This window comes from Homo sapiens, chromosome 13 (genome assembly GCF_000001405.40).
Source record: "Homo sapiens chromosome 13, GRCh38.p14 Primary Assembly".
NCBI classification, from domain to species: Eukaryota; Metazoa; Chordata; class Mammalia; order Primates; family Hominidae; genus Homo; species Homo sapiens.
Genome location: NC_000013.11, coordinates 22,040,520 through 22,061,657, shown reverse-complemented (window position 1 = coordinate 22,061,657; position 21,138 = coordinate 22,040,520). Strand labels below are relative to the sequence as shown.

At 43.2% G+C, this 21,138-nt stretch overlaps 1 long non-coding RNA gene across 1 annotated transcript in view, besides 5 other annotated features; it reads right to left on the bottom strand.

The window, feature by feature from the left end:
• Positions 1–20,687, bottom strand: part of LOC105370108 (uncharacterized) — a 114,586-nt gene extending 93,899 nt beyond the window's left edge. The window contains exon 1 of the long non-coding RNA XR_007063716.1: positions 20,274–20,687. This is a non-coding gene — a long non-coding RNA (uncharacterized LOC105370108). The remainder of the gene's footprint in view (positions 1–20,273) is intronic.
• Positions 54–348: a silencer, noted in NCBI's record as "tiled region #1095; HepG2 Repressive non-DNase unmatched - State 24:Quies, and K562 Repressive non-DNase unmatched - State 24:Quies". NCBI's record gives its function as "represses a minimal TATA promoter and a strong SV40 promoter by Sharpr-MPRA in HepG2 and K562 cells {active_cell/tissue: HepG2 | K562}" and the evidence as "EXISTENCE:reporter gene assay evidence [ECO:0000049][PMID:27701403]".
• Positions 54–690: a biological region, named in NCBI's record as "Sharpr-MPRA regulatory region 1095".
• Positions 140–690: an enhancer, noted in NCBI's record as "H3K4me1 hESC enhancer chr13:22635107-22635657 (GRCh37/hg19 assembly coordinates)". NCBI's record gives its function as "activates a minimal SCP1, AML or CMV promoter by ChIP-STARR-seq in primed H9 embryonic stem cells {active_cell/tissue: H9 hESC(primed)}" and the evidence as "EXISTENCE:reporter gene assay evidence [ECO:0000049][PMID:30033119]".
• Positions 19,917–20,416: an enhancer, noted in NCBI's record as "H3K27ac hESC enhancer chr13:22615381-22615880 (GRCh37/hg19 assembly coordinates)". NCBI's record gives its function as "activates a minimal SCP1, AML or CMV promoter by ChIP-STARR-seq in naive H9 embryonic stem cells {active_cell/tissue: H9 hESC(naive)}" and the evidence as "EXISTENCE:reporter gene assay evidence [ECO:0000049][PMID:30033119]".
• Positions 20,417–20,918: an enhancer, noted in NCBI's record as "H3K27ac hESC enhancer chr13:22614879-22615380 (GRCh37/hg19 assembly coordinates)". NCBI's record gives its function as "activates a minimal SCP1, AML or CMV promoter by ChIP-STARR-seq in naive H9 embryonic stem cells {active_cell/tissue: H9 hESC(naive)}" and the evidence as "EXISTENCE:reporter gene assay evidence [ECO:0000049][PMID:30033119]".

Genomic DNA, 21,138 nt, shown 5'->3' with positions numbered 1-21,138 from the left:
AGTCCCTGCGTGCATGTGCGTGTGTGAGAGAGGAGAGCATGCCTCCATGGGGGAGTGTGAGTAGGTGTATGTGTGATGCCTCAAAAACTGTGGGAGGCCTTTTTGACAAACACGCATGAGTTCTGCCCTCATACCTACGTTGAAAAGCAGCATTTCTCCCACACTCAGCAGATGCCTTGCAGGCTATTGTGGCTGCCTGGTGGGGGAGACCCAGCCCTGCAGGTGAGTTAGTTCAGCTTCTCAATCTCACTCTGGAATTTTATAAATGCCCCTGGGGGGTTGGCAGAAGGAAAAGGGCTTCTGTGAAATGGTGAGGCATTTCCCAGAGCCTCTGATCCCTCACTCCTGAAAGCATCTCTGCTGACCACCATTCATCCCTCTGAGATGGAGAAGTTCTGGGCCTTAGGGAGTCTTCCCATGAAATGGATGGAGGTCTGTCCCTGACCCAAGGCTGGGAAACAAAGGGCAGTGAGAATAGAGCCAAGCAGCCTGTGGAGCAGTGGCATAGAGGTAGAGCCCAGGCAGCTGGCAGGACTGAGGTTTGGGAACCAGGGAAAGGCGTGAAGTGGCTGTCCGGGGAGACTTCCAAGGGCTCTGGGGCAGTTTCACGGCATCCTGTGCCATGTGACTTCTCCCTCCCACTTACTCCTCAGCAATGCCTGGTGGGTTTGGAGTTGGCCTTCATGGGAGGATACAGGCAGAAGGCATGCCCAGGCTGCGAGCAGAAAGCTGGGTCTGCAGGCAGCGGTGGGGCAGGAAGGTATGGAGGTTCAGGGCACCAGGAGCCCTGCTTTGACCTTCATCAGTGGCATGATTCCTTCCCCCATTCACCAGGCAAGGACGTGGAGCACATGGAGCCACAGCAGCACCTGGAAATCTAAAATCCCCCAACCCTAGCAGTTTATACTTTGGCAGAGATCACTGACATTAAGCAGCTCAGCAAATAATTTTTCAGTTACAAATGCAGGGTTCACATTCTCTCTTCTCTAGATCACAGTTACAAATGCAAGGTTCACCTTCTCTCCTCCTAGGTCATTATTCTTTTCCTTTTTACCCTTTCAGTCCCACCCATCTACAAACATACCATAATTTCTAACATTCTTCCTAAAATTCCTCTTTGATTGCACATCTCCCTGTAGTCTTCCTAACGTTTCTCACTCCCCTTCACAGCCAAGCTATTCATGAGAGTTGTCTCTGGCTGCTATCTTCACCATCTCTCCTCCCGTGCCTCATCGACTGCCCCTAATCATTCTATCTCCTCCAGGACTCACTCCAAGCTTCTCTTTTAAGCTCACCGAAGATATCCACAGTGCTTCGTCTCAGCGCTGAGCTTTTCCACCTGCACCTGCAGTGTTTGGGCACACATGATGTGGTGCTGAAGACCAATGACCCTGAGACTAGATGGTCCAGATTCAAACCCCAGCTCCAGTGCTTGTGAGCTATGTGACTGGACAAGTTTATTTACCTCTGGGCCTGACTTCCCATTTGCAAAGCAGAGATAATAAAACAAAATACCTCATAGGGATTATGAGGATGTAACGAGTTAATATACATACAAGACTCAGAACAGTGATGGGCACATTGTAAATACATGTGCCCATGTACATGATGGTACTAATTAATAGTAGTGGGTCACTTCCTCATTCTTCCTGTGGTTTCCAGGACACCAGACCTACCTGGTTTTCCTCCGAGCTATTCTTCAGTGCCTTTGCTGGTCCACTATCATCTTCTGAGTCTAAAGAACTCAGGTGTCCCAGAGCTCAGCCACTGAACATTTAGCCTCCTGAGACTTCCTCTAGTCTCCTGTCTTCAGATGCCATCTGTAGGTGACAACTCCCAATTTCCAGCCTGAAGTTTCCAACCCTAAACTCAAGGTCATGCATAAATTGTCTACTGGATATCTAGACCTCTGTGCTTCACAGGCATATCAAACTCAAATTTCTTGGCTGTTCTGGAGCTCATCAGGCACGACCTCTCCCTCAGGCCTCTGCCTGGAATGCTCTTCCCCTCCTACCTGCATGGGTTCTTCCTTCCCCTCCTTCAAGTCTTTGCTTATGCATCGACCTTCTGAATGAAGCTTTCTCTGATCAACCCACGTAAATGTAAGACTCCCCCAACTCCATGCACACCTGTTGGCCTCCCCTGCCTTTTTCCTCCACAGTATTTATCAGCTCCAGATATACTAAATATCATATTTATGTATTTGCTACATGTTGCGTATCCCTTATCCAAACTGCCTCGGACCAGAAGCGCTTGCGATTTCAGATTTAGGAATATTTGCATACACATAAATGAGACATTTTGGGAAAGGAACTTAAGTCTAAACACAAAGTTCATTTGTTTCATATATATCTTCATATTAAAATATGTTTAATATTTTGTGTGTAAAACAAAGTTTGTGTTAAGTAATTCTGTGTGGAGTTTTCTACCTGCGACACTGGCACTCAAAAAGCTTGATTTTGGAGCCTTTGAGATTTTGGATTTTCAGATGAATGCTCAACACGTTTTCTGCCTTCCTCATCGGACTATAAGCTCCAAGAGGAGGGGGTTCTTACTCTGTCATTTCATTGCTCTATGCCTAGCGCCTTGAACACCCTCTTAGTATACAGTTAAATGCTGAGCAAGTATTTACTGAATAAATTTTAAATAGAATCAACAAATTGAAAATATGGGCCCATTTTCTCCTAGTATGGTGTGAGAATCTGTATTGAGGATCATACTTGACCATGGAGCAAACAAGTCTTCCCAAGGCAGTGACAGCAAAACAAAAATGGAAAGAAGTTAGTCATACCAGGTAGCCAGGCCAGATAAGGCAAAAGCATCTGGACAAAGGCCACATCCTCCAAAGGTCCCACTGCAATGCTTGATTGAGGAGTGATGGAAGATCTTGCTGTGGGATCTCAGGTTACAAAAACAGAGAGTCAGGTAGACAGGTTGGTGAGGAAAAGATCACACCCAGCCCATCAGCCTCAGAAGGCTTCACCTTAAACTCAATGGGAAGCCCAATGGCCTTGATCATGGTAGAGAATACCACCAGAGGTGGCAAGGCTGCTGCAGGGAGAAGACGCTGCCAGGGATGTTGGAACTGGTTTACCCACCATTGAAGGTACCTGGCCAGGAGATGTGGCTCTGGACAGTGGAAGACAGGTTTAAAAATTATTGGGAGGCAGAATCAAGAAATATTTTTCACTGATTGCATATGAGTGGAAAGGGAGAGTGAAGTAAAGAATAGCTCCCAGGACTTTTGCATTAGCTAATGGGTAAAAGGTGAAGCTATTGTGAAGAAAGGTGATGAATAAATGGGTTGGGGGATGGGATAATATTACACTTCAGTCTGGACCTAAAGCCTGAAAGATTTATTTCACCAGTGTAAATGCTTCCATCTAGGTATATGCTCTTCCCCACATAGAATTCATTTTCTTCATTCTCAGGATACTTGCTTATGCCAAGCTTTCTACTCCAAATGCCATTCCTGTTCCTTTCTATTGTCCACTGTCCTTTAAAACCCAGCTTACACATTCAATGCCCAGATCTTGGTTCCTCACACCATTCTCTAATAAAAGAAACTGCAGCTCCTTGGAAATATGGCTGATTCTAAGGCTGGAACAGGAAATATGCAAGAAGGGCCTGGAGCATCTCTTAGTACCTGTAAGTAAGGAAGTGCCGAGAAACACACACAGTGATGAGTGCGTATGTCACAGGGAGCAGGAGTCCATTGAGTGGGCTCCCAGGTCCAAAGCTGGAAAAATTTGAGCAACCAAATAAATGATGTAGCATTGAAACATAACTAAAAGTATAGCATATATATCCATGAGCCCATACTGATATAAATAAATGATTGAATTAACAAATAAATAAATGAGAGAAAAGCAGAATCTTCCGTGCAGAAAAATTCCAAATAATTTATGTAAATAGTCTGTCCTCAGGGAGGTGGAGCATCACACCCCATCCCTTAAGTGTGAGCTGGGCAGAGTGACTTCCTTCTAAAGAATACAGAAAAGAAAACGGGGAAATTAGAGTTACTTAACAGTGGAGAAACCTGACAAACTACCTCAACCAGGTGATCAAGGTCAGTATCAACAATGATAAAACATGTTGATAGTATGGACCCTTGATATGTGCTGAGAGGGGCATTTCAACTCTGTGGTCTTCCAAAACCCCATCATACCAGTTCTATCACGAGAAAAACCTCAGACAAATCCAAACTGAGAGACATTCTGCAATGCACATAACCAGCACTCTTCGAAACTGTCAAGGCCATCAAAAGCAGGGGGAGTGCCTGTAATCCTAGCACTTTGGGAGGCTGAGGCGGGTGGATCACAAGGTCAGGAGATCGAGACCATCCTGGCTAACACGGGGAAACACCGTCTCTACTAAAAAATACAAAAAATTAGCCAGGTGTGGTGGCAGGCACCTGTAGTCCCAGCTACTTGGGAGGCTGAGACAGGAGAATGGTGTGAATCCAGGAGGCGGAGCTTGCAGTGAGCCAAGATCATGCCACTGCACTCCAGCCTGGGCGACAGAGCAAGACTATGCCGGAAAAAAAAAAAAAAAGCAGGGAGAGTTTGAGAAACTATCACAGCCCAGAGGAGCCTAAAGCAACGTGATGACTAAATGTTAACGTGGTCTCCTGGATGGGATTCTGGAATGGAAAAAGGACATTATGGAAAAACTAATGCAGTCCAATAAAGAAGGGACTTGAGTTGATAAAAATGACTTGGTGACAAATGTACCCCAGTAATGCAAATGGTTAACTGTAAGGGACTTCTGTGGCATATGGGAACTCTCTGCACTATCTTTACAACCTTTCTGTAAGCCTAAAACTATTGTGAAATTAAAAGTTTATCTGATGGGGGACAAGCTTACATCCCACCCCTCCAGAAAGTCTTTCTCACTCTTCACTTCTCACAGGGAAGCCTATGCCTCCTCCTTGCACGTAGGCACTAAGTCTGCAAAGCTTATTGTCACTGGCATTGTGTTGCATTTAAGTGGTCCCCTCACTGTGTGCAGGTCTGTGGGTTCTATCTTTCCTACTGAAGGACAGACTTCCTAAAAGCAATGGTGCAGCCCTATCTGTCCTGGGTTTGTATCCATGGCAGTAGTCCAGGGCTTCTATGCAGTGGACACTTACACATCGGCCTTGAAAAAGTCACTTCTTCCTCTTCTTTAGAAGTAGAACAGACATAAATGACACTGACCTAGATTAGGAGGAAGTTTTCTTAGAAGTAATGAACTACAGAATGGTTTTATAAGTTATTGCACATAAACAACTAAACACTATACGGAAGACATAGAAAATAATAGATGTCCGTTGTGGCTACTACTACAACACGGTTGGCCTTTCATCTCCCCTTTGTCTCCCCAAAGACACATACTTCTGCCATCCAACAAAAGCTCTCATCCCTGCATCCAATCAATGGCCAAGTCCTATCAATTCTGCTTCTTAAATATCCCTTGCATGCGCCCATTTCTCTCCACCCCCATGGTCAACACAGTCATCTAAGTCAATGGCATCTCTGGCTAAAACATGACCATTTGGGGCTCTGGTTTGTCTTCTTGCAAACACTCTCATCCTGTCCACAATAATTTTTCCATGATCTTTTTAATATGACCATCTTATTATGGAATTCCCATGCTCAAACCCTTCTGTGTCCAATCCAGCTTCAAAATCCTTTCCAGGGCCACAAGGGTCTGTGCCTCTCTGGCCCCAGCCCTACCCCTCATCTTCTCTTCAATCACTGTGATCCAACCTATTGGCCTCTTGCCACCTCTGCCATGTTTTTTTTTTTTTTTTTTTTTGTCCAATCTCAGGGCCATTGTAGATGCATAGATGTTGTTTCCTTTGCCTAGAAATCCTTCCACCCTCTTGTCCACCACCCTGTTTTTGCCTGAGTAATTTCAATCTTTCTCCAGATCATGAATACAAATAACCTCCTCAGGGAGCTATTTCCTGAGGAAGTAATATGTATTCAACCCAACTTGGTCTATGTGCAGGAGCATACTGTGAACGCACTTTGGCAAAGCAAAGGAAGACCCATTCGCCATATGTTTAATGTGACCCCATGCAGGACAGAAAGCTCCACATCACTATTATCTGCCCCTCCGTCCCTAGGACCAGCCTAGCGACTGGCTAGAGCAGGGACTCTGTGAACATGAGCAGACTGTTGGATGAAGGGATCTATCCACTGATTCCTCTGTCTCCCTTCCAAGCACAGTGCAGCATTCCTGACATTCTTCCTGGTTCTCCTCTTTCATAATGCTTCTATTCCCCGTTTGACATGAATGACCAATGGCACAAATGTCAAAAGTCTCTTTCCAGAGCACCTGGGGGAGTCTTTGAGGATGTTTGATTCACCTCATTTGTCTCTACTGAATTTTTCCCAGGTGGGAGTATTTTCCATCTTTATCACAGTGATTTGTTCATCATCATACAAATTATGATAGGGAACCACATCAAACATGACTCAAAACAAGGAAACGAAATATATTTTGCACAGCTAGTTCATCAAGATTGAAGCCAAACAATATTCACTGTGCATAAAAGGCACATCAAGCCTTAACTTGGTCCCTTTTAAGAGGATGACACAATTTCTGGGGTAGTAAGACATTAGGGAAGATCATATGATGCTTTAGTGAAAATGTCCCTTTGGTTTTTCCTCAGCCTGTCCAAGCTCCCATGATTCACTGAGGAAACGGCCTTATTAAGGGATAATAGGTTATGTGGTCCCCTCAGTTGAGAAAAAGTTTCTGCAAGTTAATTACTCTTTCTGGGCCTCTGACCTATTTGAATCTGGCCAAAATGCCTGAATAGGGTTTTCTTCACACGTCTGACTTAGCATCAGTGAGAAAGAACTGGAAACTTCTCAAGTAAGATGTCCTCATAAGAATTTCTACAACCCTGCCTTTGTGGTCTGTCGCTTCCAATAAAAAGAAGGTTATGCTGGGCTGGGCATCTCATGATCAGTGAGAACCACTCTAAGAATCAGCCAGTCCAATAAATGTGGGTTTGGAGTGTGCACAGTGCTCATACATGTGTGTGCATGTGTATGTTTGTGTATGTGTTTTTATGCCTGTGTGCACGCATGTGCATGTGTGTATGCATATGTGTGTGTGCGTGTGTGAATTATGTCAGTCACACAACTGTTTTCAAAGAAAGAGGTGAGTCTGTTCTCACAGCACCTCACCTTTTCTTCCAAAAAGCTGTTGGAGGGGTTTTAAGTTAATTCCACCCTTCAGCTCTTAAGTCAGAACACAACTCTATCTACATCTTGTTTTTAAAAGATCAGTGAACTCTTTGACATTGTCTGTAATTTGTGTGTGTTTGTCCATTTACACATTGTTCAGGAGAGGGGGTCAAAAGTTTACCTCAGTTTCCTTTTTAAAAATTTTATGGGTACATAGCAGGGTCTTTATTTATGGGGTACAAGGAATATTTTATTTTATTTACGGGGTACAGGCATGCAATGCATAATAACCACATCAGGGTAAATGAGGTATCATCACCTCAAGCATTTATCCTTTCTTTGTGTTACAAACAATCCAATTATACTCTTTTAGTTATTTATAAATGTATGATAAATTATTGCTGACTGCTGGTACCCTGCTGTGCTATCAAACACTAGATCTTCTTTATTCTACCTAACTGTATTTTTGTACCCATTAACCACCCCCCTCCCCCTCCCACTACCCTTCCCAGTTCCTGGGATCTGTCATTCTACTCTCTCAGACTCTTAAAAAGGTCAGTCTGATTTAAATAAAAGGAAGAAAAAGTAGAAGAAGCCCAACCTCTGGTCGTAGACTGACCTAGATATCCAGTTTCTCTAGACCTCGTACAGGGGAGTAGTTCCTCACCCAGAGGACATGGTGGGCATCCGTATATGATGCATGCAGAGGCACAAACAGAACACTTGTCAAATGACAGATACTCTATAGATACTGTGATGTTTATACACTTTAGTCCACCCCCAAAGGCACCCATCCTCCTCTTTCCAGACTGGAGATGAAGCCAGCGAGGCAATTCTCCCAACCACGGCTCTGGCACCAGCTTCTGCGGCCTGTTGCGTGTGGATGTGCCATAGACCCATCAATTGGAAGACAAGGATGTGTTCCCAGCACCTTTCATTTCAGAGGTATGGGTATGAGGAGAATGTCCTCCAGCGACCAAAGTGCAGAGAGAAACTTCAGTAAGAAAATCCGTTTGCTACAAGGCAAAGTATTATCCGACCTCTCCTGGGGGTGTTATCATAAAGTCAACACAGAGAGCCCCTGGAAATTACAGTGCATTCAGGATTTCCCAATTTACCACAGGCCTTCAGAGCCACATTTGGCAACAGCCTATTTCCAATGTATTGAAAGAGAGGTAGAGACCTCAGCTCTGACCTAATTACAGCCCTTCTGTTTGTCTCCTCCTCCCTGGAGGGAGGGGCCGTCCTCCTCAGCATCTTAGTCTATCTCCAGGTGGGCCAGGTGGCCTGTGGTTACAAACTTGTTGGGTATTTTGCTGTGGCTGAATTGCCTATGATTTGGGTTTTCACTTAGAATATCATATGAAAATCACCCGAACCTATCTAGCTAGCTAGCTAGCTAGCTAGCTAGCTAGCTATCTTTAGAGACACCTCATTCTGTCGCCCAAGCTGGAGGGCAGTGATGCAATCATAGCTCGCTGCAGCCTTGAACTGCTGGGCTCAAGCGATCCTCCTGCCTCAGTCTTCCAAGTAGCTAGGACTACAGGCACGTGCCACCATACCCAGATAATTTTTCAAATTTTGTAGAAATGGCGTCTTGCTATGTTGTCCAGGCTGGTCTCAAATTCCTGGCCTCAAGTGAGCCTCCAGCCTCAGCCTCCTAAAGAGCTGAGATTACAAGTGTGAGCCACCATGCCTGACTACTGCATGCCCATCGTGTGCAGAATAACGCTGTGATTCTTTCCTTCAAGGCATCTACTGAATGTTAATGTGCACGTTTGAAAGCTATCTGTGGTAGGCTGTACACTATTTCCTCACAATTTTCCCTTCTCTCTCACCTCTGCCATGCTTCACTTTCACCCCAGAATAGGCATCCCTGCTCTACTGATGTTCAACTTGGCCATGTGGCCGTTTTTGGACAATGGAAAGGGATGGCTAGGCCAGTTCCAAGCCAGAGCCATGGGAGGATCCCCTGTCGCCAATGATCCTACCCCACACCCACCCCTACCACGAGAACTCACCTCGTCTAAGGGCTGCTTCCTCAGCCCGAGTTTCAAGACAAGACCCACACAGAGAAGCCCTGAACCAACAGCAGGAGCCTGCAGCGAGTGCAGCCTTGCCCAGCTGAGTTGTCACTGACCCACAGGCCCAACTGTGAGCAATCAATGCTTGTTGTTTTCAGCCAATGAGACATTGGGTTGTATGTTACATACCATTATTTGACAGAAACCTGGGTGTTTAACTCAAGGCCTGCTTTGGTGATCTCCTCTCTCAACTGACTGCCAGACTACTCATGAAGCATTCTATCATGCACTGTTTGCAATTGTAAGTTATCATCTTATGCATCATGTTTTCCCAGCAGGACTGGGAACCCCAGAACCCAGGAAGTGTGTCCTCTGCTTGTTTGCATCTCCTACTCTTCCCACCTTATTACCTCTAATATATGATAATTTAAAAGTTTTCATTAATAACTCATATTTCTTCAATGTTCTGTAATGATTATTCACGACTAGCCACTGTAGCATATTACATTATAATCAAACACAAAAGGAGTTGGAAGATGTCCTTTATAACTACTAACATTTGAGCCGGGTGTGGTGGCTCACGCCTGTAATCCCAGCACTTTGGGAGGTCGAGGTGGGTGGGCCACGAGATCAAGAGATCAAGACCATCCTGGCCAACATGGTGAAACCCCGTCTCTACTAAACATACAAAAACTAGCTGGGCGTGGTGGCACTTGCCTATAGTCCCAACTACTCGGGAGGCTGAGGCAGGAGTATTGCTTGAACCCGGGAGATGGAGGTTGCAGTGAGCCGAGATCGTGCCACTGCACTCCAGCCCAGCTGCAGGTGAGACTACATCTCAAAAACAAAACAAAACAAAAAAACAAAAACAAAACAAAAATAACTACTAACATTTATTGTTGACTTACTAAAAACTGTTCCAAGCACTTCGCCTTAACCCACTTAGTCCTTTCAGCAGCCAAATGAGGGAAAGACTGTGAGTTCCCAAGTTCACACTACGAGCCAGTGGTGCAGCCAAGATGAGAATTCAGGTCATCTGGCCCCAGATCACATGATCCTAGCTAAATGAAAGGACAGTGAATCCTGCTGGTATCCTCTCCCCGGTCACACTGGTTACTCAGCCTAGCCAGCTTCTTAGCTGGGGAGCTGCCAGTGTCATATGCAGCCCGTTCTGTTGCTGGACACAACAGTTGTAAGAAAGGTCTTCTCAATGGTGCAAAATCTGGTGCTTCTACTCCTTTGAGCCAATGCAGAGTACATCTTCCTCAAGCAGCCCATCAAATGACCGCAGGCTCTGAGGACACCCCTGACAAAGCCTCCAAGCCAGAAGAGGTAACCAGCCCTTTCCTGTGGTGGCCCTTTCATGCCACATCCTCTCATCCCTGATCTTCACAACACACAGCCTTGCCTATACTGTTTACAAAAGTGCTTTAAAATGAGGAAAGCTTGAACAAAAATGCAGGCACTGTGATTACTGATAGAATGGACACTCGACAAATGCTAGTTGAACTGAATTAGTCACACCCACTGAGAAATGGTTGAGATATCTAAAAACATTGTTTCTTGAAATCTTTATTTCTTTATTGAATTTCAGGGAAGGAAAGCACCAGACACATCGTCCTGAGATCTGTGATTCTGGAGTGTGCGACAGAAGCTTTTGACAAAGAGGTGAAAGCAGTTAGTTAAAACCTGGCCCAACAAGTGGAAGAACAAGTGATACACTCTAGGAACGGTCACCACAAGGGATAACCTACACGAGGAACCTCCCTCGAGAGAACCCAGAAGAAGCTCTCACCAGAACACCAGCAGGAGAGCCACAGTTCAGAGGGCAACCACTTCAGACACATGCCCTCGCTGTAAGTAGGCCTCGGTCTATATCTCAGTGGCTGATGGTGATATCAAGTTCATGCTCAGTTTTTACAAGCTAACAAAAATATATATAAAAGCTCTCCTCAAATAAATGCATATTGTACTCTAAATACACAAAGATCATTTCATTTTTATTTTAAGCTTTTATTTTAGGTTCAAGGGTACATGTGCACATTTGTTATATAGGTCAACTGTGCCACGGGGGTTTGTTGTACAGATTTTGTCACCTAGGTACTAACTAAGCCTACTACCCAATAGTTATTTTTTCTGCTCCTCTCCCTCCTCCCAGCCTCCACCCCCAGGTAGACCCCAGTGTCTGCTGTTCGCCTCTATACATCTATGTGTTCTCATCATTTAGCTCCCACTTTAAGTGAGCATATGCGGTATTCGGTTTTCTGTTCCTGCATTAGTTTGCTAAGCATAATGACCTCCAGCTCCGAAGATCATTTTCATGACTTTTTTCCTGTCTCTAGGGAAATTCACGTGTTCTTGTTTGAAATACTTCCTCCTTACAAAGAAATAGGGTATGTGGCTCGGTGGTCAGACATGTTCTTCGGAGCCAGACCACCAAGGATACTAGGTCTGGATCTTCCCCCATGAGGTAAGGTCCTGGGCAAGTTAGGAAAGTGCTCTTGGTCTCAAGACTCCTCATGACTAAAAAGCAGATGACAACACCACCTATATTGCAGGACTCTCCCAGTGATTCAATGAAGTAAAGCAATTAACATGATACCCATCCATGGATATAGCTATCATTATAGCCAATGCTTCTAGATTAGATCAATAGATGAGGAGGGTGGATCCTTGTAGTCAAGGTACTTTTTACTACTAAGCAAGCAAAGGTTGATAATGTCATATAGCTTGTTTTCATATTATGCATATGGAAATAGCAGAGCTTTCCCTCTCCCACACTGTGAATAGACTCATGGGCCTCAGTGCTCTCAGGGCCTCAGCTTTTATTTAGAAAGCTAAGTTGTCTGCTGGCAAACTTTCAAGCTCCATTTCTTCATGCTTGATAGACCACAAACCAGCTCCATGAGCCGGAGAGAAGCTGCAATTAATAAGCAAGTCGAGGCACTCTCTCTCCTAAACATGCCATGCTCATGTCTTACTGGAAAGAGAAGTGACCCTCCAGGAAGAATATGACTTAGTGATTGAGTGTCTCCATTTGATGGGCACAACAGGGTTGAAGAAAATGTAGTAAAACTCAATTAGCGTTAATGCTTAGGAACCGGGTAAGTGGGTTGGTTTGCTTCCATTTTCTGCCCCCTGTGGCAGTCTTTTTTCCTTATGCCCTCCTTCTTGGCCTTGCTTTTTCCTTATATTCTTTCAATATTTTTTGAGTGTCTACCACCTGCCTAAGTATGGAAATTTCAAAGGTGAAAGGGTCCCAGCCTTTGCCTTCAGGAAGGTCACACTGCAGTGAGGAAAACAAGACACTTCCAGAGAAAAATCGCAAAACCACAGAGAAGTGCAGCACTAAAGACAAACAGACAACGTGGGACTCCACTCTCTGGATATGAGAAGTTTACAGTGTAGGAGACATGAGAGTAAAGCTCGGTTTTCCAGGAAAGGCATTCTTTCCATCTTTATTGGATTCGAGTTTTAAAACTATATACTGGATTTCTCTCCTGACTTAATTTTTCCTAAAGTAAAACAAACATAATGCAAGCGAGTCTTCATGGGCTGCTTGAGACTCATACAGTACAAATAAAATTGTATTTTACAGTAAAACAAAGGCAGATGTTTGGGAAGGCTGTCTACCTCGATTGTTAATAAAAGAAACTTATGTTATCCATCATGTTTTGTGTGATTTGTCTGTTTCTTCTAAGCATTAAGGGAGGGGCAATTTGAGTGAGGTGAGAAGTTTGGTGAGCTAGATTTTAAGTGGCCCCCAACCCAGGGAAACATACACCATGTGCTCCAGGCTTGGTGGGGATGGTGCGTGGATGAGAGCAGACAGGTGCATCCACACCTCAGGTGCACCCTACTCAGCTTCTCCAGCACTTGGGAGCACCCCCAGTTTGGTGCAGTGAAAAGGATGTCTGGCTTTGGTTTCAGAACACTTTCACCTCAAATTCCAGCACTGGCGTTTGCAATCTCTATTACTACTGGCAAACTCTAACCTTTCAATTCCTCATCTGCCAAATGGACATGGTGAGGCCATGCTGTAATGCAGGTGTGATGGCTAAGTAAGGTGGCCCGGCCGCCATTCTCAAGGGAGAACATGCCGTGAGCCAAGCTTCTAGAGCTCACGAATGTGTATGCCTCCCCCCATTTCAAGTCTGTGAGATGCACAGGTACTGCTCTTTTTCTCAACCTACCTATAAGAAAACTCAGTCTTTTTTTTGAGACAGGATCTCACTCTGTCACCCAGGCTGGAGTGCAATGGCACAATCACAGCTCACTGTAGCCTTGAACTCCCGGACTTAAGTAATCCTCTCACCTCAGCTTCCTGAACAGCTGTAACTACATGCAGGCACCACCATACCCAGCTAATTTTTGTATTTTTTGTAGAGACACGGTTTTTCGTGTTGTCCAGGATGGTCTCGAACTCCTGGGCTCAAGTGATCCACCCGCCTTGGCCTCCCAAAGTACTGGGATTACAGGCACAAACCACCATGCGTGGCAGAAAACTAAATCTTGACAAGATCAGACAAGTCACCTAAGATCAAATAGATAGTGATGGCGGAACTGAGACTCAATCCCCAGGCTTAGCTGACTTCAAAGACAGGGAGTAGAAGAACTCAACAATATCTCTGGAATTTGTGGTTGATACCATTAAAAGCAAGTCTGAACACAGAAGGTGATGGCTAATTTTGTGTGTCAACCTGGCTAGGCTACACTGCCCAACTGTTCGGTCAAGCACTAGTTTAGATATTGCTGTGAAGGTATTTCTTAGATGTGATTAACATTTACAAAATACTATTGCCAGGAGCAGTGACTCACTCCTGTAATCCCAGCTACTGAGGAGAAAGAGGTGGGAGGATCACTTGAGCTCAGGAGGTCAAGGCTGCAGTGAGCTGTCATCAGGCCACTGAACTCCAGCCTGGGTGACAGAGCAAGACCCTCTTAAAAACAAACAAAAATACCATAAATGTACTTAAAGTCAACTTTGAGAAAAGCAGATGACCCTTCATAATGTGAGTGGGCTTCATCTAATCAACTGAAGATCTTAAGAGTAAAGACTGAGGTTTCCAGGGCAAGAAAGAGTTCTTCCTCAAAATTACAACCTAGAAATCATGCCTGAGTGGAGAGCCTACCTGTAACCCCACAGATTGCAGGTTCAAGATTGCAACATCAGCTCTTATTGGAGCTTCCAGCCTGCTGAACTGCCCTATGGATTTCAGACTTGCAGCCCCCCGTGATCACATGAGCCAGTTCTTTAAAATAAATATCCTCTCCCCTTCTCTCTGCCCCTGTCTCCCTCTCTCTCTCTCTCATAGATAGATACATTGATAGTATTGGTTCTGTTTCTCTGGAAGGCATAGACTGAAAATACGATGTGCCGAGTATGAATCTAAAACAGCTAAGATGGCCAAACTGGAACACCTTCTAGTTGTAATGAGGTGGCGCTGGAACTTCACTAAGAGGTCAAGAATACACATACACCCAAATTTGAGATTTGCCTTCATGGTCATGACATCTGAAGCCAAGGGGAGAAGGAAAACCCTAAAGAAGAAAGTTCAGGGACGGGCATGAGATGTATGAGGCAGGTCTTTGGTAGCCCTTTATTTTGGGTGTGGGAGAAGAATATAGAGACAGAAGAGCTGTGCAGAGGAATCAGTAACAACGAATACAGTGGGAGGGAGGAGGATGCAGAAGCAGACTGAAGCTGAGTAGGCCTGGGGCTTGGAGAGGCTGGTCAGATGACTGGGGCTTGGCTTGGAGATCAGAGACAGTGCGAAGAAAGCACACATAGAAGCAGCAGCAACACCAGCACAGGTGTGAGTGAGGAGAGAAGGGAGAGCTGTTTTATCTTAATGTTTTAGTATACCGTCAGTCCTTCAACATCCTGGGAGACAGAGGCACCAACCCCACAACACAGTTGAATATCCACGTATAACTTTTGATTCCAAAAATGTAATTACTCATAGCCTACTGTTGAACGGAAGCCTTACTAGTAACATAAACAGTGGATGGAGACATATTTTCCATGTTTTATGTATTATATGTTGTATTTTTACAATAAAGTAAGCTAGAGCAAAGAAAATGTTAAGAAAATCATGAGGAAGAGAAAATATATTTTCTATGCATTGAGTGGAAATGGATCATCCTGAAGATCTTCATCCTTGTGATCTTGGTGTTGAGTGGGCTGACAGGGAGGAGGAGGGGTAGGCCTTGCTCTCTCAGGGGTGGCAGAGGTAGATGAAAATACATGTGTAAGTAAGTGACCCGCAAAGTTTAAACACGCATTGCTCAAGGGTCATTTGTACTACTAAAAGACTTAGAGTAACATGAAACGCAATTCCTTTATCACAAGCTGGTTACCAAAGCTGAGTTTCACCTTTTGGTAACAAAATTACTAGGACACAAACCTCTGCCAGCTCCTACCAGGACCCCTGGCTGCTTCCAAGCTCCCCAGCATGACACCTGCCTTGGGCTCCTCTGCCACATCCTGGCCTCCCTGGCTTCTCTGCCTCTGCCTACTGATTTTTTTTAAATAATCAGGAGGGCTTTCTGCTTAGCTCTTGACTGACCTCCACAAAGCAAGAACCAGGGTGACTCCCCAAGTATCATCATGCCTTGAACAAGAGCAAGCTAATTTGAGAATTTGTTTTTGAACATCTAAGGCCTGCGGTGTTTTTTTCTTTTCCCAAGGGTTAATCCCCTTACATCCAATTCCAAATTGTGAGTAATTGTGCTCATTCTTTTTCTTAACCATACTGTTAGTATTTTTATTCTCCCTTAAAAATGCAAATACCTGTTTTTTTCTCCTTTTTACTGATGTCCCCTCGTTCATTCTAAATCACCCCACACATTTATCTCCCTATCAAGCTTCCCAGAATCAGGATCTCTTACCTATGTCATGTAAACCTCCAATTTCAGCCCATCTTCCTCCACTCATTGGTCCCCATTGGTTCCTGAATAAAGTTTACATTCACCTGCCTGGTATTCAAGGGCTCCATGATCTCACCTTATTCCACATATTCTAATCTTCCACTGGAGTCCTACTGGTCTGTGTCCTCCCTCCAAAGTCTCTATTGCAGCCATTTCACTCAAGCTCCTGCTTTTGATGGAATGATCATTCTTGATCTTCACTGATTCCTCCAATAATCAGTCATTCAATAAGTAAGTCTAGTACTTGAAGTTAAGCTGATAATATATATATATATATAAGACACACACGCCTATTTAGGAACACACCAGATAACTGACTCTCTTCTTTCCCCTTGTTCCCAGTAACGCTGTCATTTCTTGTTCTGTTTCCTTCTCCTACCTTATCTGTACAATGTAGCATGATATCCTCCAAAGTGTCTCAAGAGAATCTTGATGCTTTATCATACTGTCCACACCAAAGGTCACATGGCCATTGTAATGTCAAGGATTTGGTAAGAAAGCAGAGCTTCAGGATAGAGTCAGTCAGGAGAGTCAGTGAGATAAGACAAGAATTCACTCCACAAGCACCCACCAACCCCATCCTGTCCCCCCAAAAGAAAAAAAAAGAAAAACAGAAAAACAAAAAACATTCACAGTAATTTTTGGTACTTTCATAAGTGTTGAAGCAAAGAACATTATATTACATTACATGGGTAGAAAAAGCCTGTTTCCTAGAACCTGTATTATCTCTATAGTAGGCAAACTCATTCTGAGTAATGAATGAATGGGTTTTGACCATATCTGAAAAATAGGATTTAAAACCAGAAAATATTGAATGATATAAAATCAAATTCAGAAATATCCCTATGCATCATATCCTTACAACCAAGGCATGTTTTCTTAAGAATCACCAAACATGGAAATATACATGTTTCAAATCAACACAATATTACACAGAAGTTCCATTTGGCCATTATTATACTCCTAAAGTTCCTCATTCTGTCTCTGAAAAATTCCAGCTACAATACAAAGCAACACCAGCCAGTCGTGAGCAAAGGACTTTCAGAGACTGTTACTCAGTTGTTTTCCATAACAGAAAGGCATTTCTATGAAATATTCAAGATTTCACAAGGACAATCCAGTTCCTTAGCATTAACACAAAAACTGAAAGGATAAAGATTAGTATGGTCCCCACCAAATGATGGCACAAAAATCAGAAAGCACTCTATACTAAAATAGTAAGCAAAGCCTTTCCATAGCTTGTAACATGGATAGCTAACCCAAAACGTCTTCATTATAAAACACCCAGAAATGCTAGATAAAATCAACATTCTTTTAAAATATATAGTGAGATCACAAAACATGATCAATGTTTAGGCAACAAATAATAAGTAGACACTAGAAACAGATAGACACGTGAGCTGATAGACACAGCAGCAGATATGGTTGGGCTATCATTCTTGCTAATAAAGGAGGTTGGGGCTGAAGATTTAATGCCCACATGGGTACAGAAGAGTTCTTGAACCTAAGGGAGGCAAGACATTGAAACTGAAAATGCTTCATAAAGGAGAATTCTCAGGGAGGGAACAAAAAAACAGACTAGAAAAATGCATGCATGATCAGAAAAAGAAAATAAGAATGCTCATCTCTTGGTACAGGAAAAAAACAGTGTCCTTTGAGAATTTGTATGATGGGCTCACACTTCATTTGACTTTGAGGTTGGAATTTATAACAGTTGCATGGTAAGAAATTCCAGACCAAGAAATTAACATAAATTGTGATTCAGTGATATTCTTAAATGATTTGGCAGAAGCAAATGGAAAAAAAAAATCTTTCAGAAGGCATCCAGGCACATTCCCTCTGTACATAAGTTTGAAATCAGAAATAGCAAAGGTGTATAAAAATAATTTGCTGTAATCAGCAGACATCTGAGAATGTGATTAGACTCCCAAAACTTCAGATACCAGAAGATTCAGATAGAGGCTGAAAGAAGAGTATATTTTTAAATATTAAAGAAAAAATTTAAACATAAAGATTAAAATACAATAAAATAAATCTCAGAGGTTTGAAAATTAATCAAAAGTAACTTCTAAAAATTAAATATATAATCATTAAAATTAAAAATTCAAAGAAAGTCTGATACAGTAGATTAGACACAGCAGAAATGACTTAGTTAACTGAAAAAATAAGATTAAATGACATTCCAAAACACATATTGGAAAAGTAAATATAGAAAACTGAGAAATTTCCATTTTTGATAGGATCTCCCACTGAACATAAAGAAAAATGCTGCATAAAATAATTTTAAAGTATGTAACGTTTAATTGATTTGGAGATGGAAAAATGTAAGCCTGCTTAAGAAAGCCCAAAAAATTTGAAGCGATAGAAGAGATACAGAGAAGTATGAGTCCTGGTGGCTGAATTAAACTTAATGCAACTACAAAACACAATTTCATTATGGGTTTAGGGGCCAGAAGAAAAATTAGAAGGGCACAACAGAGGTGGAATCTAATCCAAGACCACCTATATAAAAACAGAACTCTAATCAGTTAAATTCCCAGATTATAAATCAACCATAAATGTTGCACACACCGCCAGCACCCCTCTTAAGAAATACTAAAAAATATCTGTAGCAAAATAGCACCGAATGGAGAGAAAAAAGTATTTTCCCTGACAATTTGTAATCACAAGCTAAGTATAATGCAAGTTTGTTGCCCTAACTGAATGAGTTAAAAGACCTCAAATTTAAAAATGTAGATGGTAATTCTAGGTCAGTAGTGTCCACAAACCTAGCAAAAGTAAATGCAAATTTTCTTTGGAAAAATATACGGTCATCTCATTTTCAAATAATTTCCAGTTAAATTTCAAGTAATATGAACTCACAGTGAAACATCACAAAATACTTAAGAAAAACAAGGCAAGTATGTATGAGCAAGTGCCAACAGAAATAACAAATAGCAGAATCAGATCCACAGTGGCTTTAATCATTAGAATTACCACACACAAACAAATGTAAGTCATATTTAAGATTCTTAATAAAATAAGAAATGGAAAAATGAGCAAAAAGCAAAAAATTTTCATTAGACAAAAAGAACTTGTGGAAATAATCTAATTAAAATTAGAAACTCAATAAATGGATTTAATAGAGGCTTTGATTCCACTGAAGACAAAATTAGTGAACTAGAAAATAGAGATGAAACAATTTCTAGAAAAGAGCACAGTATTTCGTTTTTTTTATTTTATGATGTTTTGACATCTTAGAGTGGGAGCCTGCCAGCTTCAGAGAGACTGCAGCTTCCAGGGCTAATTACTAGAGATAATCAACAAGTCACCTGTGAACATATCTTTTATCTACAAACCAACCAATCCCAACTTCATACCCCCAACTTTCTGCTTTAACTCTCACAATCCAAGCCAATATTTTCCCTGCCCCAAATCAATGTGGCCAATGACCAGACAATTACAGACAGCCGCTATGCCCCAAATCCTGCCAGAATTACTCAAACTAGCCAAGTTTACTCTGCCCTGCCTTGACTTTCCCACAGAAACTCCAAAAACGGCTATGGCCTGTGCTTCTCTTTCACTCCTACCCTGCCTCCTGACCAGCTCTGGGGCTGCCCCATGTGTTTCTGCATAGCAAGCAATGCCTCTCACTTCTAGGAAACTGAGTAATAAACTTTTCTTCCCAGTGGCACTGACTGCTCCATGTCCTCACTCTGTCACCTCTACACATTAAAATCCTGTGGATACATTTTAACATAAGCACAGATACCAAAAGATAAATATGGTAAAAAGAGTTTAAGACACATGAAAGACGGTATGAGAGGTTCCAACATCTATCTACTTGGAATTCATAAGGCGAAAATAAGAGAAAGCAAATATGAAAAAACAATAGCTGAGAATTTTCCAACCAAAACTGTTAAAGGACCTAATTCTTATGATCAAGGAGCCCAAGAATCCTAGAAAATAAATGGCTAAACACATAGGAAAACCACCAAATATCAATGATTAAATGAACATTTCTAAAAGCAGTCAGAAAAAAGAGAGAGATCATTTACAATAGAACAACCCTATCTTGACTTTTCAGCAGTAACTATAGAACGAAGAGGAAAAAGGGGTGTGAATCGTATTGTCACAGTGAAACAGGAAAAGTTACCTTGTCCTACTCCCATGGCGTGCAATGGGGGTGTGACTTGCTTCTCCAGTGCCCCGCTGCTCAAACCTCTATGGGAGCATACAGACAGGCAGGCTGTGGAGCTCCGACGCCCTCCGCAGTGTGGGTGAATCTTACCCACGTGGGCTTGGAGAATGAGTGCAAGGTTTTGAGTACAAGTAGCTCTCTGCCGATAAAGGCGCCAGAAGAGAGATGGCTTTCCCCCGAAGTCTGGCCGCTTGGCGGCCCAGGTGCTCCTCCGACTGCCCCAACCAAACTCCTCCACGTTGCACTGGGGTCAGCTCTCAGCTGACCTTGCCGGCATGCCTAGTGCCTAGCTAGCGTTCTTCTGCAGGTCAGGCCACTTGTGCGTTCCTTCGCGGATACACTCCTCTCCACATCCAGTCACTTCCGTCTGTGCCTAGCGACGGTCTTGGGCTTTTAAAGGCACATTATAGGGGCGTGGCAGGCCAGGGCGGTCTTGGGAAATGCAGGAAATGCCTGAATTGCCTGTCCTCACCTAGGTCCATGGGGGTAGAGCCCTAGCTAGGGACCACGCCCTACTCTACCCAGCACTTCCCTTCCCCCCCTCCCATATCATTTAAAGGGACCAGGCTCTTTCCCTCACAGCACTTTCCTTACGTATCAAAAGTGCTCAAAGAATTTGTCGGCCAGGCACAGTGGCTCATGCCTGTAATCCTAGCACTTTGGGAGGCCGAGGTGGGTGGATGACTTCAGGTCAGGAGTTCGACACCAGCCTGGCCAACATGGCAAAACTCTGTCTCTAGTAAAAATACAAAAATTAGCCAGGCGTGGTGGCGGGCGCCTGTAATCCCAACTACTTGGGAGGCTGAAGCAGGAGAATCGC